The 16170-nt window shown below is 56.3% G+C and overlaps 1 protein-coding gene across 16 annotated transcripts in view, besides 3 other annotated features; it reads right to left on the reverse strand.

Moving 5' to 3' along the window:
• The window catches only part of SLC6A9 (solute carrier family 6 member 9), a 34980-nt gene that overhangs the window by 8788 nt on the left and 10022 nt on the right, over window positions 1-16170 (reverse strand). For 4 of the 16 annotated variants that reach the window (NM_001024845.3, NM_001328629.1, XM_047428740.1 and 1 more), the window contains exons 3-5: window positions 5456-5612; window positions 4695-4826; window positions 3083-3353 (exon numbers count right to left, since the gene is read on the reverse strand). In NM_001024845.3, the coding sequence (NP_001020016.1) occupies window positions 3083-3353; window positions 4695-4826; window positions 5456-5612 (560 nt within the window). Of the gene's footprint in view, window positions 1-3082; window positions 3354-4694; window positions 4827-5455; window positions 5613-6290; window positions 6453-11776; window positions 12071-16170 lie in introns of those variants that run through there. The other 12 variants (NM_201649.4, XM_011542017.3, NR_048548.2 and 9 more) reach the window with 8 other exon arrangements.
• Window positions 414-620: a silencer, noted in NCBI's record as "fragment chr1:44471356-44471562 (GRCh37/hg19 assembly coordinates)". NCBI's record gives its function as "represses an EF-1alpha promoter that drives an FKBP-Casp9 reporter gene in an ReSE screen in K562 erythroleukemia cells {active_cell/tissue: K562}" and the evidence as "EXISTENCE:reporter gene assay evidence [ECO:0000049][PMID:32094911]".
• Window positions 447-506: a silencer, noted in NCBI's record as "silent region_803". NCBI's record gives its function as "represses an Ori minimal core promoter by ATAC-STARR-seq in GM12878 lymphoblastoid cells {active_cell/tissue: GM12878}" and the evidence as "EXISTENCE:reporter gene assay evidence [ECO:0000049][PMID:35858748]".
• Window positions 5344-6009: an enhancer, noted in NCBI's record as "H3K4me1 hESC enhancer chr1:44476286-44476951 (GRCh37/hg19 assembly coordinates)". NCBI's record gives its function as "activates a minimal SCP1, AML or CMV promoter by ChIP-STARR-seq in primed H9 embryonic stem cells {active_cell/tissue: H9 hESC(primed)}" and the evidence as "EXISTENCE:reporter gene assay evidence [ECO:0000049][PMID:30033119]".

A 16170-nucleotide genomic window follows, 5' to 3' on the forward strand; every position in this document is an offset into this window, starting at 1 on the left:
GACCAGCACAGGGGACTGGAAGGCAAGATTGTGAAGAGGGTGGCGAGGGAGGGGAGGACCCTGAGTGAGAAGGGTGAGTGGGTGAGAGGCAGACATGGGCTCAGAAATCTGCCGTTTGAGCTTCTCTCGCTTTAGAGTCTCTTCATCTTACTTTTGATTAGCTTCCCTCATTTGTAAAATGGTGATTTTTAAAATCCCTACACAAGCTACCTAACAGGGTTTTTGTGGCACTCCAGTGAGATCGCGCAGCTGTCCAAAGGGTCATTGGAGAGTGTGGACTAAACACCTGCACAGCCACCCCCACCTAATTCACCCCGGCACACCCAGCAACAGCAGCACCAGACGGGCGCAACACACACAGATTCTGATACAGCGACTGCTGCCTAGCTCCTTAACCTCTAAACGGCAGTTTCTGAGTCTGAAAATATGGATACTAATATCTACTTAGATAACATGCCTGGCACCTAGTAGGTGCTCAACAATAAGGGTGCTTCCTTTCCTCCCTTGCTGAAGCCAGCCTGGGTTGCTCTCTTCAGGGCCATTTCCCTGGATCTCCAGGAGAGGGCAGCAGGGAGCCGTGCTGCCGGGAAGGTATCCCGCATGGGACAGTGGCCAGTTAGGCAGGCCTGGCTCCAGCCCGCGCTGGGGAGTAGAGTGCAGCGGCTCCACCAGCCAGATTTCTTTGAAGGCTCTTCCCCTCTGATTTTACTGGATAAAATCTCTAGAGCTTTGCCCTGGGTGGGCCCAGGGCTGGGAATCTCTGGCAGTCAGTCCCTGGGACAACCACCACTGGAGCATCTGGGGGTGGGGTTGCACAAGGCTTTGTGTTTCTGGGAGCTTCCAGAAAGGTTCATCACCCCAGACTAGATCAAGTTGACCAGTCCACATCATGCCTCAAATGTAATAAAACGCCTCACTCAGCAATATCTGCTCGTTCTCCCATCGGACGGCAGCTCCGTGAGGACAATGTCTGCCTCCCTGCCCTCTCTCCCCTCTGAGAACAGTACCTGGTACCTAGTAGGTGCTCAAGAAATCAGCTGGGTGTGGTGGCTCATGCCTGTAACCCCAGCACTTTGGGAGGCCGAGGTGGGTGGATCACCTGAGGTCAGGAGTTCGAGACCAGCCCGGCCAACATGTTGAAACCCTGTCTCTACTAAAAATACAAAAACAAGCCAGGCGTGGTGGCGGGTGCTTGTAATCCCAGCTACTAGGGAGGCTGAGGCAGGAGAATCGCTTACCCCGGGAGGCAGAGGTTGCAGTGAGCTGAGATCGTGCCACTGCACTCCAGCCTGGGCAACAGAGCGAGATTCTGTCTCAAAAAAAAAAAAAAAAAAAAAAAAGAAATCATCTGTCCATTCAGTTCCAGGTGTATTTTTTAAAAAGAAAATAAATGTTAGGATGTTAAAAATTAAAAAATGAAAGACAAATGAAATGACCTGTCTGGTAACTGAGTGCCTGAGTCTGCCCATGCCCCTCTGGGGGACAGCAACTGTGTTCTCTATGCTCTGGGTCCTTGAGAATAGTGGCCCTGTCTTACCTGTCTTTGAGTGTCTACAGCCCAGCCCAGAGGTTGGCACAGGGAAGCTGAGTCCTTCAGGGTCAGAGTACTTGGACCTGGGTTTAGAGGCCCTGTGGTGACTTGCGGTATCCTCAGACCCTTGTACATTTCAGCCATGGCTTTCCATCACATGTGGAGAAAAGCCTCAAACCCTTAGCCTGGCATGGGAGGCCCTGTGTTATATGATGCCTGCTGGCCTCTTCTGTCTTGTCACTCAGCGTCCCACCTGCTCCCAACCCCAGCTCCAGTTTGCCTCCTTCTGGCCTCTGCTCACCTGCTCATGTGGTTCCCAATCTCTCTACTTTCCTCTCTCCCTTCTCTGGGAAGCTCTGACTGCCTGGTCTTGCCCCATCCCCTTAGCACCAAGCACTACCTCTTTGTGTCTCTGTGACACCCCTGCACATACCTGGACCGAGGCACTTGCCCTACTGTGATTAGCAATCTGTCTCCCCACTGCCCTGTGAGCTCCTCAGGACAGGGGCTCTGGGCTGTTCATACCTACCATGGGGACACAGGGCCTGGCAGAGCAGAGGCGTGAATGTTGTGGAATAAATGGTGGAGGCCTGCCAGCATGCCCCCAAAGCCCTCTGCCCAGGGGTTCCCCAGCAAGACACAGGGAATTTCCAACTGGTGGGTGGAGGGCACAGCAGGATGGCCTGAGACTCTGGTCTCTGTCGCCTCTGAACAAAATGTGCCAGGATGTCTTGATCACGGCACCCCCGGCTCAGAGACCTTCCATGGCGTCTTTTGTTCTGCATCATCAAGTCTAAGCCTAATCCTGGCAAGTTCTTTATGAAGGCAGTGCCACTTCCTAGGCCACCTGAAGCCCATGCATTCTCCCCACACCTGTTACTCTCATCAGAGTAGGCTCCCTTCAGCTTTGGGGCCAGCCTCTGCTCATCTGGGACAGAGCCTTTGCCCACACTCTTCTTCTCCCCAGGATCTGCCCCCCTTTCCCCTGAGTCTCCTCTGAAGGCTGGTTTGCTGGATTTCTGACGGCCTTCCTCACGGCTACTCTGTAAAGATCCTGCAACTCAACATTCCATCTTCCATTGCTTTCTTTCTTTTTTTTTTTTTTTTGAGATGGAGTCTTGCTCTGTCGCCCAGGCTGAAGTGCAGTGGCGCGATCTCAGCTCATTGCAAGCTCTGCCTCCCGGGTTCACGCCATTCTCCTGTGCCTGCCACCACGCCCGGCTAATTCTTTTCTCTTTTTGTATTTTTAGTAGAGACAGGGTTTCACCGTGTTAGCCAGGATGGTCTCGATCTCCTGACCTCGTGATCTGCCCGCCTCGGCCTCCCAAAGTGCTGGGATTACAGGCATGAGCCACCGTGCCCGGCCTCCATCTTCCATTGCTTTCTGTACATCAGGCTCTTCTCCTAAACTCTTCACTCACCTCTACCCTCTCCCAGCCCAGCAGCGGGCTGAACCTGCAGCAGGCACCCTACTTTGTCTTCAGATGGTTGCCCAGTGGGGACAGGGTTGCCACCAGGTTCCCCCCACCCCAGGTCCTGCAGGTGCCTCACCTCCAGTACTCCTCGCTGGGGCTGGTCCTCTGGAGGCTGTGGTTGAGCAGGTGGGAGAGGTTGCTGGGCAAGGCGGCTGGCCGAGAGCCATTGGTGAGGTTGGAGGCGTCCAGTACACCGGCGCAGTCATGCGTGTTCCAGGGGTTATTGCAGTAGGCCCAGGGCAGCACGTGCGTCATGGACGAGAAGAAGTAGTAGAAGGCGATGCAGATGACCACATTGTAGTAGATGCCGATGTAGGTGGACACCACCATCATACCATAGCCCACTCCTGCAGGAGGGGAGGGGTGGGGGGAGGAGCCTCAGCATCCAGCAGGAGGAGGTGAGGTTAATAATTTCTTTTTTTTCTTTTCTTTTCTTTTTTTTTTTTTGAGATGGAGTCTAGCTCTGTTGCCCAGGCTCTGACACCCAGGCTGGAGTGCAGTGGCGGAATCTTGGCTCACTGCAAGCTCCACCTCCTGGGTTCATGCCATTCTCCTGCCTCAACCTACCGAGTAGCTGGGACTACAGGCGCCCACCACCACGCCTGGCTAATTTTTTTGTATTTTTAGTAGAGACGGGGTTTCACTGTGTTAGCCAGGATGGTCTTGATCTCCTGACCTCGTGATCCGCCTGCCTCGGCCTCCCGAAGTGCTGGGATTACAGGCGTGAGCCACCGCGCCCGGCCTTTTTTTTTTTTTTTTTTTTTTTGAGACGGAGTTTTTGCTTTTCTTGCCCAGGCTGGAGTGCAATGGCGCGATCTCGGCTCACTGCAACCTCCGCCTCCCAGGTTCAAGCGATTCTCCTGCCTCAGCCTCCCGAGTAGCTGGGATTAGAGGCATGCGCCACCATATCTGGATAATTTTGTATTTTTAGTAGAGATGGGGTTTCCTTTTTTTTTTTTTTGACATGGAGTCTCCCTCTGTCGCCCAGGCTGGAGTGCTGTGGCATGATCTTGGCTCACTACAAGCTCTGCCTCCCGGGTTCACGCCATTCTCCCGCCTCAGCCCCCAGAGTAGCTAGGACTGCAGGCACCTGCCACCACACCAAGCTAATTTTGTTTTTGTATTTTTAGTAGAGACAGGGTTTCACCGTATTAGCCAGTATGGTCTTGATCTCCTGACCTTGTGATCCGCCTGCCTTGGCCTCCCAAAGTGCTGGGATTACAGGGGTAAGCCACCGCGCCCGGCCAAGATGGGGTTTCTCCATGTTGGTCAGGCTGGTCTCAAACTCCTGACCTCAGGTGATCTGCCTGCCTTGGCCTCCCAAAGTGCTGGGATTACAGGCGTGAGCCACTGTGCCTGGCCCGAGGTTAATAATTTCTAAGGGCCCAAGGGGCAGGCTGAGATGGAGGGCCAAAGGAAGGCCAGGTCAAGGTCTTGGTAGGGGTAAGTTGGCGGGGGGTGGCGCAAAGGAGTTTTGTGTGTACACGTGGTAGGAGGGGAGGGTGGCAGCCAAGTAAACATGGGTCCCAGCATGCATCCATGGCTTAGGCCGTTGATGTGGGGCTTGGGGTCAGCATCAGGGCTCTACAGAGGTCAGCCATGTTTGTACAGATGGGCGAGTTGGCACGGCCCTCAGAGGCCGTTGTGTGTTTGTGTATGTGTGAGCGAGTGCCCCGCCCAGGCCTCACCTTTGAACATGGGGCTGATCCTCCAGACCCCCAGGCACCCCTGGCTTGCAAACTGGCCGAAGGAGAGCTCCATGAAGAAGAGGGGGATCCCGCAGAAGATGAGCATGATGAAGTAGGGGAACATGAAGGCGCCTGGTAGGCAGGGAGAGGTCTGGCTCAGGAGTGGGCTTGGAGGGATCTCACCCTGGGCTTCCTGCTCAGAACTCAACAGCAAAACCTTCGCGATTGGGTAGGACCCAGGGAGGAGTGTGCCAGGCTTGAGCAGGAGCCTGGGCTGAGGCACACCACCCCCAGCCTGTCTTTCAACTTGACAGAGGCTCTCAGGAATTCTGCTTGGAGTGGAATCCAGGTCCCAGAGCCTCCATACTTGGGTGGGATTTGATGGTTTAAACAAGCGATTTCACAAGCATAAGTTGCTGAGATCCTCAACATCCCTGAACCATTTAGGGGGGCTGCTGAACCCCAGGGAATAGAACAGGGAGCCTTGTGGGCGGGGGGGGGGGGGGGTTAGGTCCTTTTCTCACCTCTCCTCACCTCAAAGGGGGCCAACTGGCAGGGCCAGCCCCCAACAACAGACTGCCAGGGTCTGGGGTGGCCTGCCTTAGGCAAAGGGTGCCTAAGCCAGGGATGGGGGCGAAGGAGGCCAGGGCCAGAGGCCAGCCTTTATCTGGAGTGGGTCTGTGCCAGGGAGAGGGTGGCCCAGGCCCTGGTGGGTGGGCTCTACCCAAGTGGGTGGTCCCTGCCCTGTGCCCACTGGGTACCTCCCCCGTTGCGATAGCAGAGGTATGGGAAGCGCCAGACATTGCCCAGGCCCACGGCATAGCCCACGCTCGTCAGTACAAACTCGATCTGGTTGCCCCAGTTGCCCCGTTTGAGGTTCTGGTCCCTCTTGGTGGCCTCGCTGGGCACAGCACCATTCTGTGGGGACAGGAGAGAAGCTACCATCAGCAAGGCATTTGTGCTCCATGCCTGACCCTCTGGGCCTCCCCCAGCAGGGAAACCGTGGCCCCTCCAACACCCCTCCCCGGGCTTCCCCTCTGCTGGCAGGAGCTTCAGGCAGGCCTGGCAAAGGAGGGAAGCAGAGAGTAGTGGCTGCCAGAGGGCGCCAAGCAGAGCTTCCCTCACCAGCCCCACAGCACCCAGTGCCAGGTGCACAGCCCACCTGAGGAGCTGCTACCAGCATCCGGGAGGCGGGACACTGAAGAGGGAGCTAGGGCCAGGAGCCCCCAAGCCCCTCCAAAACCTCCCCTTGCCCCTCTGGGTAAGGATCTGGGAGCAGCTGAGCCTCATACCAAGCAGCCAAGTCAGGCTGGGCACAAAGGGGCCTGTGTCCAGACAGCCCCCCCACCCGTCGCCTACCACATCACCAGGCTGAGCACGCTGCCCCTGGGCAGGCGACTGCGGGGGAGGGGAGGTTAGACCCCTCCCCCAGCTGAAGGCTTCTTCCTGGGGGCACAGAGTGGGCAGGGCTGGGGGGAAATGGGGGAGCAGCTGAGCCGGGACAGACATGGGGAGGGCATTCTGGGACTCTAGGTGGGAGGGTCCGGGGAGCTAGCTACACTGCCCATGGCTGGGGAGGGGCCCTGGGGAGCTGACCTGGGCCATGGCTAGGGAGTGCTGGGCCATGAGTTGGGGAAGGAGACCAGAGTTGTAGGCCCCATGCCAGACTTTGAGGACAGACTCTGCTAGGGAAGTAGAGGGAGTGGCTCCAGAAAAGGGTGGCAGGAAGAAGGATCTCTGAACAGGGAGAAGCGTCACCTGCAGGGGAGGGGGCCGAAGGTCAGGAGAGGCAGATGCGGGGATTTGCCCCAGGGAAGAATGTGGGGCCTGCAGGACTGAGCTGGTGGCCTGGGCCCCACTGAGGACAGCCCCTTGTGGAACCCCAGGCCCAAAAGCTGGAACTGGCTCTGCAAGTCCCTTGGTTAAAGAAGTCCCTTAATAAGTGCCATGCTCCTTCCACCTCCCTCCCACAGTGAGCAGGAAATTAATCAGAGCCCAAGGGCCCCAAGGGGTCTCACTAAGGAGACAGGGGCTCAGTGTCACCAACAGAAACACAGACAGACCTTAGTGCCAGAGACAGCCTCCCAGAGGTGAGCTATTCCCCTGAGAGAAACAGACAGACCTGGCATCAGAGATGGAGCCCCGTAGCCTCAGAGAGATGCCAGTGATGTGACATTCACCCTCCGCTTGAAAGAGACATATTCGACAGCAGTCACTCTGGTCAATAAGCAAGGCAGCCTGGTGCAGGTGAAATGCTATCAGACCCTGATGCTGATGAACAAACACAGACGGAATGAATGGCCTCCCTGGGCCCCAAGCGCCTTGGATAGGCCAGGTGGGAATGTGGGCAAAGGAGGCACCAAGGCCTGATGGGTGGGCACTGCAGCACAGACACCTTTGTGGGGCAGCCACCCTGTGCTCTCAATCCAGCATCGACCCTGCCGAGATGTGATCCTCACACCCTCCACAGAGGGCAGGGGTGCAGTGCCAGGGACCATGGGTTTCCTTCAAGGAGCACCCAGAGCAAATCAGTGGCTGAACAAGCCTTCTTTCATTCATTCATTGATTCATTCATGCAATGGCAGATTTATTGACACTGGCTATGTGCCAGGCACTGTGCCAGGAAGTGGGACTTCAGCAGAGAGCTCCTACCCATTCGGAGCTGGAAATCTAGTGGGGGTGCAATGAAATGTATACACCCATCATCTTTAGATGTGGCTTCAGGGTGACCACAGAGGGGATCATCTCAAAATCACAAGAGTATGGAAGGAGGACAAGGCAGGAAAGCAGGGCTGAGGTCAAGGAAGGTCTCCCTGATGAAGAGGCTTGAAGACATGCTTGGCCCTGGTAGAGGGTGCCCCCCGGCCTGAGTGTGCCCTCTGTGACATGCCCCTACAGAATCCTGTCTGAGCATGTCACCACCTCCTGGGGCCTTCACTGGGGCAGGTGTGGCAAGATCACAGAGTCAAGGGCCCATTTTTTGGAGGGTGTGAGGCCTGCTGGGGGTGGTCTATCTGGTCCCAAACAAATGCCAGCCAAATAGGGCTCCTATATGTTGACCCTACAATACCAGTTTTATTCTGTCCCAGGGTTGTTTACTTAGGGGCACAATGCCTGATTGTGCCAGCAGCACAGTACACGGATGGGGTCACAGAGCAGCAGTTACAGCTGTAAAAGGGACAACTGATGGTCCAGGATGGACCCATGGGCAGGGTAAGGGCAAGGCCCTTTGCAGAGATCCAGGTTCCCAAGGCTTGAAGATCAAGGCCTGTCTCCTGTTCCCAGCAGGATGAGGGACAGATGCCCCATACCCCCTGACCAAGTGGGACCACATTTGGATCCCTGAAGTCTGCTCCTTCCCTGGCAGGGGGAGGTACGGGGAAGGTGGTGATGCTTCCAGCCACGTGCCACAGACAGCCGCCTGCCTGAGCCCTCAAGAGCCAGCCACTGCTCCGTTAATGAGCCGTGTGCTAACCAGCTTAGCCGTGCGGGCTGTAACCCAGGGAGGCCACAGCCCCCGCGACAGGGCTGAACCGGGGTTGGCGACGGGGCTCTGGCAGGAAGTTTCTGACAACACTAAAGGTCTGCTGTATGCAGAGGATCCTTGCAGAAGCAGCACCCACTTCTGCTTGGGCCTGGGTCCCAGCACTGTGGCGCTCGACCACGGGAATCTGGCCCAGGCTTGGCCTCTGTCTTCAACTCCAGGGCTGTCTACGCTCAGGTGGCTTGGCTGGGGAGGGCTGAGCTCTCAGCGGACGACAGAGCAGGCCTACCTTTCTCCAAGCAAACTGGAGGAAAGACTCTCCAAAAAAAAATCCAGGCACTTTCTGGGTGTTCTAGTTCCCTTCCTTGTCCAGATCTCCTCTGGGGACCACCCTCTGACTTCCCTCCTGAGCAGCTAAATCTTTTTCAATACTGTATGGCTTTTTTTCTCCCTCCTTGCATAATCTTTCCTATTCTAAGCCTCTAGTTTTTCTTGATCTGCTGGGTGGACGGCTGTGTCACTGATATGAACTGTCCCTGCAGTGGTCATCAGCTGAGGTACCCACGGAAAAATCCCTTTGTGCTCACGATTTGACTCAGACTGGCTGCCCGTCTGCCTGAGCCAGCTCAGCCCCATGGATGGGCTCTGCTCCAGGCTTCTCCTAACCCCCACCACCATCACCACCATCTGCCCCCCTCTGCTCACCCTCACTCACTTGCTGACATCTCAGTGGGGAATTAAACCATAGCGGCATGGTTCCCTCTGGCTTGGCCCCCTCTTCTGCAGGCTCCCTAGGCAGCCCCTATGTGCCCTGTCACCCTTCCTGGCAGCTCTGAGAGGCCACTGCCAGGACAAAGCAGCCTCCACTTGCCACTGCCATGGGCTCAGCAGGTGGTCTCCAGGACAGGACTACCCTGCCCTGTCCCCAAGCTCTCCCAGCCATGGAAGGAATGGAGGCTTTCCTTCCATGGCGGGGTGGGGTGAGCTGGCTGACACATATACACCCATACACACACACACACACCCCTCAGATGTTCCCTTACCCTTAGAACCAGTCATTGAGACAGGAGTGTCCACCCTGGCACAAGGACTTATGATCTTTCCTGGTTTAACAGCCTCCCACCCCTTCCCTGCCTAGCTGGGAGAGCCACACTGAGCAAAGTCACTTACATAAGTCCTTTACACAGCCCTCTGCTTGGCTTATTTACTGCTCTGGCTGAGCCCCTGGAATTAAGGCTGCTCAGCTCCGAGGGCAGAATCCAGATCTCCCACTCAGCCCTGGGCTTGGCAGAGGCGGGACACCGGTGCAGGTGAGAGCCCTGGTGCTCTAGGGCCCGCTCCTCCAGTAGAGCCCTGGGCAAGCCACTTCCACTCTTGGTATCTCAGCACTGCTGTCTACAAAAGCAGGGGACAGACTAGATAACCTCACTATCAGACAAGATCGGGTGCGTTCAGGATGGTATGGCCATAGACTAGATAACCTCACTTTCAATCGATCTGCCAGATTCCCAGGCTAGATAGCCTCTGTAGCTACTCATATTCCATAGCTCTCCCTCACCTGGAATTTTGCTATTTCTGACTTTCCCCTGTACATTCCATTAGTTCCCACTAGCTTTCTAGATTACTAAAAACAATTTTGCCCTTTTTTTTCCTGATTATAAAAGCATAATAAGCTATCACACACAAAAAAATTAGAAAATACAGAAAAAGGTAAAGAGGAAATGCAGCAACAAAGCCTACTCCCAGAGCGAACCGGGCCAGCCCCAGGATGCACTCCTGCCTTTTGCTGTTGCACAGACTCAGGGAGCCCAGCTCTCCACCCTGGACGGTGACTGTGCTCTGGTGTGACACTCCCGCCTCCTAGATCAGTGGCCAGTGGATATTTTTGTGAATTGTGAGCTTCCCCCTCCTGCTCTGGGTGGACACTGAGGAATCCTGGAGCTGCCCTGGATGGGCGGGCCCCTCTGGGACCCAGCAGGCTTTGTGTTTAGGACTCTCCAGCCCCAGGGTTTGCTCATGGGATGAAGTCCCATCCAAGACAAACTTTATGGAGGAGAATGGGCAAGACCTCACATCCCAGACTGACTTTGAGCCAAATCAGATCACTGGCAACTTTCTCTAAGCCCCAATGGGGAATCTAGACAGAACAGCCATTACAGTAAATTGTGGCTGCCTCAGAAGACCCCACGACCTCCTTCCGGCCAGGCACCCCTCAGTTTTTGTTCTCTCCTATCAGTGCAGGGCCCAGCCTGGCCCACAGGCAGCACCTACCCTGCAATGACAGAATCTTCTGTCCTTCACCTACATGGCACTGAGTAGGGGCAGAGAGACCCAGCTGCAGCTCTGATCTCTGGCCTCAGTTACCTGGATATGGGAGAGTCTGGGGCCGGGGTGGAGGGGCAGAACATGGGAAAATCTCCCCCGGGCCGAGCAGCCCCCAGTGGCCATTCATGCCTCCTGCCTCAAGGCAAACCTCAGAGCCATCTCTGGGCACCTCTCAGGACTCCAGGTGCCTTCAGAGTCCAGGCCTTCATATAGCAGATGAGAGAGGCAAGAATACGCCTTGTGCTTATCCATTGCAGAGCCCTGACTGGCAGCAAGGGACCTGCCAATATTGTGGGCTGCAGACAGATGACTGGCACCCCCAGGCATGCCGGGCTCCACTCCAGGCCCTGGGGTGAGTGATGGAGGACCCTGGGTGGACCCTGGCCAGCTCCTCGCTTCCCACCCCAGACAAGCCCAGGAGGGAAGACTGGAGGCAATGGTCATGTCCTGTGCTGCAGCGGCTGGGGGCGGCGTCTACCCTCACTGGCTAGCAGCAGGCAGGCACTCTGGAAAGTGGCTTTGGTTCTTGACCCTAGCAGTACTGAGGCTTGAGGGCAGCCCTGCGTACTGTTCCTCCCAGACCCATCCCACATCGCCTCAGAGGACATTCCCTCTCTTGCCTTTTGAAGGTCAAGTCAGGATGTCCTACAGGGGAGAAGTGTAGCTTTCGAGTCTCCTCACCCTCGCTGCCATCCGCTGACATCTCCACCCGTCCCCGGCGTCCAGGGATGAGGACACACCGGCTCCCAGCCCATGCGGGCACTTGCCCTGGACCCTGGAAAATGTTCTGTGGGGTCTCTCTCTTCCCAGCTGAGACTCTTGCCCCATCCCCTTCCCCCACCCCTTGCCACTGAAACCATGTACCACGTTCCCCTGCCCCCTCACCCACTCTTCCCATAGGAGTAACTGCCGTGGCACAGACAATGAGGCTGTATTGATTAGTACAATTCCTGGGCACCTCCGGCCCGTCTCCCCGGGAGCTAGGACAATGCAGCTTTGATACACAGAGCAGATTCTCAGCAGGTCCTTGGGCTGGGGGAGCCCTCACACCCCCACTCTCCTCCCCCTCACCCCCACCACACAGCTAACTCTTCCTACACTCCTTTGCACAGTTGCAACTTTCTGGGTCACTTTGGCTGGTGTCTGTCTTGCTTGCTGGCTGTGCCTGCCCCTCCCTGGCACAGACCACTCAGCCCCTCTCCCCATCCGCAGCCCAGCCTCTCAGCCTGCCTGGCACCAAGGAGGGGGCTCAACTTCCTGGAAGGTGACTGACCTGTTCTGGGGAAGAGGGGGCCACAGGTCCATGAGCCGCGGCCATCCTGGGGCGAGCGATCGCAGCCCGCGTGTCTCCGCCGCTCATTCACACCTCTGCCAGCTCCAGCGCGACACTGACGCATCCCCTGCCTCTCCCACTGCCGGGCTGGGCAGCGTCAATTACTTTCACCTCATCTCCTCCCGAAGCTCTGCCTACCCGCTCCCCTGGCCCTGCCCCTCCGGCCAGTCCCCATGCAGCCCAGCACGGGTGCTCCGGAGCTGGAGTGGGGTGTGTGGGGTTTGTTGTGTTTTTCCCTTGTTCCCAGCAAGTAACTGGAACAACACACACACACACACACACACACACACACACACACACACAGACTGGGGCAGAGCAGGCGAGAGGGTGGCTCACTCCCCCCACGGAGCTGACCAGACGCTGTCTGAGCCCACAGGCCTAGCACTGGGTGGGCTCCTGCTAGGGTAGTTGGGTGTCTGATGAGTGACGGGGTCTGCCCCATTGGGCCCTGGATGGTGACCGGCAGGAGGATGGAAGGCACAGTCCACAGGGCACCACCAGAGCAGCTCAGGCTCCACGGAGGGGTGCGGGCTGGGAGAAACCAAGCCCTAGGGCTGTACCTGACACCCCCCACCAACCAGAGATGGGGACTCCCAAACTGCCAGGGTGATGGGGCGTCTTCCTAGGAGAATGCAACTGACCATGCAAGAAAGCCCTGGCCTAGTGAACCACGCTGTCAGCTGTCTGGACAAAGATGGCATTAGCCAAGGGGGCAAGTCATCCCAGAGTCCAGACAAAGGGGGACTGTGGAATAAGAACCCGTGAGGATTTGCACCGTGATGCCCAGAAGCTGAGGTGCTAGTCTGGGAGTGTGCGTGGCGTGGGCTGGTAGGTCCAGTGGTGTCGTCACCATGACTATAGTCACCACTACTGTAGTGGGATGCCACTCAGACCCATCCAGTCCCTTTCTCTGAGGCCACACACACTGGCCAGTCTCCTGCTGACCCCAAGATACCTCAGACCAGTGGCTCGGAAGGTGGGCATATGCATTCCGGTGCCAGGAATGTGTCAGGCCCTTTGGAAACTGGTCAGTCAGCAGAAGGCCTGGCTTACCACAGGACCTCAGGAAATATCAGTCAGATGGACACGTGCATGAATTCTGGTGTAAGAACAGCTTTCCTGTGAGTTTGGTGAGTGTGGCAACCCCGTAGGGAACATAAGGAGTTTTGTCAAGCACAGGATGACATTAAAAATTTAAAAACAGGGCCAGGTACGGTGGCTCACGCCTGTAATCCCAGCACTTTGGGAGGCTGAGGAGGGCAGATCACAAGGTCAGGAGTTTGAGACCAACCTGACCAACATGGTGAGACCAACCCCATCTCTACTAAAAATACAAAATTAGCTGGGCGTGGTGGCACATGCCTGTAATCCCAGCTACTCGGGAGGCTGAGGCGGGAGAATCGCTTGAACCCGGGAGGTGGAGGTTGCAGTGAGCCGAGATCGCGCCATTGCATTCCAGCCTGGGCAGCAAGAGCAAAACTCTCTCTCTAAAATAATAATAATAATAATAATAATAATAATAATAATAATAAATAAAAATAAAAAGACAGGTGGGGCACAGTGGCTTAGGCCTGTAATGCCAGTGCTTTGGGAAGCCAAGGCAGGAGGGTCGCTTGAGGTCAGGAGTTCATGACCAGCCTGGGCAACATAGTGAGACCGTGTCTCTACAAAAAACTGGCAAGGTGTGGTGGTGTGTACCTATAGTCCCAGCTACTCAGGAGACTGAGGAGGGAGTTTTGCTTGAGCCCAGACGTTGGAAGTTGTAGTGAGCTATGATCACACCACTGCACTCCAAACTGGGTGACAAAGTGAGACCTTGTTTCAAAAAATTAATAAAAAATAAATTTTAAAATAAGATAAAAAGTCACAGCCTTTAGAGTTTGACAGTCCTGGGTTCAAACCCTAGCTTTGTCAGTTTCTCACCATATATAACCTTAGGCAAGTCCATTAACATGTCGGATCTCAGTTTCTCCATCTCTAAAACGGGGAAACCACCCACCAATCATTGAATCTAGTGAGCATTAGTAATAATGGTAATAGAAAATACATAGTAAGTGCTTGCTGTGGGCCAGGCACTGTCCTGGCTCAGCATACATGGGACGCTTGCTTCACAGACAGCCCATCACCCTGTGGGCACTCACCTAGTATGGTACAAGTTAACTTCCCATATCTTAACTCATTGGGTCCTCCCAGCTGTCCCATGAGGTAGGTCCATTATTATCTCCATGTTGGTTTGGGGAAGATGGGGACAGGCCTTGGCTCAAGCAAGTGTCCTAAGGATGGCCTCAGATCCTACCGACTCAGCTGCTCACTGAGCCAGCCTCATGCGCCTGGTCCCCAGACACACTCCCCTGACTTCCCATGGGCGCAGACTGAGGGCCAAGGCGCTGGCTGGGCCACTGGCTCCAGGAAGGTCCCGTCACCCATGATGCCCAAATGCTCACTTGCACCGAGGGTGGGCTCTGGGCTCTGGCTGCCCTGGCCTGGGCCGGGTGCCCAGAACAGGCAGCCATGGCTGGACGGCTTTCCCTGGCTCTGGCCATGGGGACAGGAGGCGGCAGCAGCCCAGCTGGGCCCTGGCCGTAATGAGGCCTCATTAGCGAGATCCAGCTGCTCTAGCCCCACTTAGGGATGCTGACTCCCCCAGCTCCCGCCTCTGACTTTGCCTAATAAGAGTGGGCATGCTTCCAGAGGGGCAAGGAGGCTAGGGTCTTTGTTGTCCCCTGTGACTCTGGAGGGAAGGTCCCGCTGAGCTGGGACTGAGAAGTGCCGGGGATGGGGGAGGGCTGCAGGGAGGCTGTGTGGGAGGCCGGGCTACAGGGTTGAGTAGGTGGGCTAGACAGGAAGTGGGGAGGGGGAGGGAGGGCAGGGCCCCCGACCAGAGAGGAAGCTGAGGAAGGCTGGAACTTTTCCTCTGGATCTAGATATTGCCCATTTCACGGAGGATGGGGTAGCTGCTAATCTAGGATCAGCGGAAGGTCATTGCTTAGGCTGTCCTGGCTAGAAGAGCACCTCCACTGTACTAGGCCTTATCTAAGGAGAATGCCCACTGTGTGCCAGGCCCTGAGCCGGGATAGCACTTACTGGATGTCAAATCTTGTGCTGGAAGCACCTGCTGTGTGTGAGAACCTGCATCAGCAGAGTGCCCACCGTGTGCCAAATCCGATGCTGATCAGCAGAGTGCCTCTTGTGTGCCAAGTCCGATGCTGAGACAGCACTCATTGTGTGTCAGCCCCAGGTGGGGAGCCCCTGTGGTGTGCTAGGTCCTGTACTAGGGGAGTACCCCGGGTATGTCGAATTCTGTGCCAGGTAAGGACCCAATGTGCGCCCAGCTCTGAGCTGGGTGAGCACCCACTGTGTACCTGGCAGTGTGCTAGATGAATGCCTACAGGGTGACAGGCTGTCTTCTAAGGGAGTGTTTAATGTGTGCCAAGTCTGCACTAGTTGAGCATTTGCCACACGCTAAGACTTCGGTTAGGTGAGTGCCCAGGCAGGGACAGGCCCTCTACCAAGGGAGTGTCCAAGGTGTGCCAAACCCTGTGCTTGGTGACCTCCCAATAATGCACCAAGCCTGCACTAGTTGAGCTCTTGCTACATGCCAACACTTGGGCTGGGTGAGTCCCCACTATGTGCCAGGTCCTATGACGGATGCTACAGACAGGAGGTGCCCAAACCCTCAGGGAAAAACATATGAGAACGCGTCAGGGTGGGGCAGCCCCTGGCGGCCTGTGGTGCTTGCAAGGCCTCCTTGGATTTGGACACTCTGGCACCCAGAACCCTAATCCAAATGAGTCTGTTCCTGTTCATTGTAAGGCTTCCCAGTGGCAGAAACAATCAGTGTGCTCAGACATGGGAAGAGGTCAACAAAGCTCACCAAGGCCTGAACTGCCCAAGACTCTGCATGAGTGGGCAGTGGCACTAGGGAGGGGACTGAGGTGGCCAGCCTGGGAAATGGTGTGACATTGGTGGGTGGAGGATTAAAACTGAGCTAGTGGGGGCTCTCTTGCCTCCTGTCCTGGGTCCCTCTCCTCCAGCCCCTTGTCCTTTGAGACCTAGGTGGCCCTGCTCCGCACGTGTATGAGGCCCTAGGTCTCCACGGGAGGACCACCCCACCCACCCCCTAGTGCCCCCAAGCATCCCAGCTGCTCCCAGGCTTGGAGGCACCCTGGCCAGCTGGGTTCTCGCACAGCCCTGTCCTAGGAGCTGCTGAGGCGTGAGGGAGGCAGCTGAGCTGGCCTGGCAGAGACCATCTGGGCTGGAGTGAGGGAGGGACACGTGCAGCAGGCATGTGGGCCTGGGCACGTGCTGGTAAGCTGCTTGTTACCCATGGGGCA

Source organism: Homo sapiens, chromosome 1, assembly GCF_000001405.40.
Source record: "Homo sapiens chromosome 1, GRCh38.p14 Primary Assembly".
Lineage (NCBI taxonomy): Eukaryota > Metazoa > Chordata > Mammalia > Primates > Hominidae > Homo > Homo sapiens.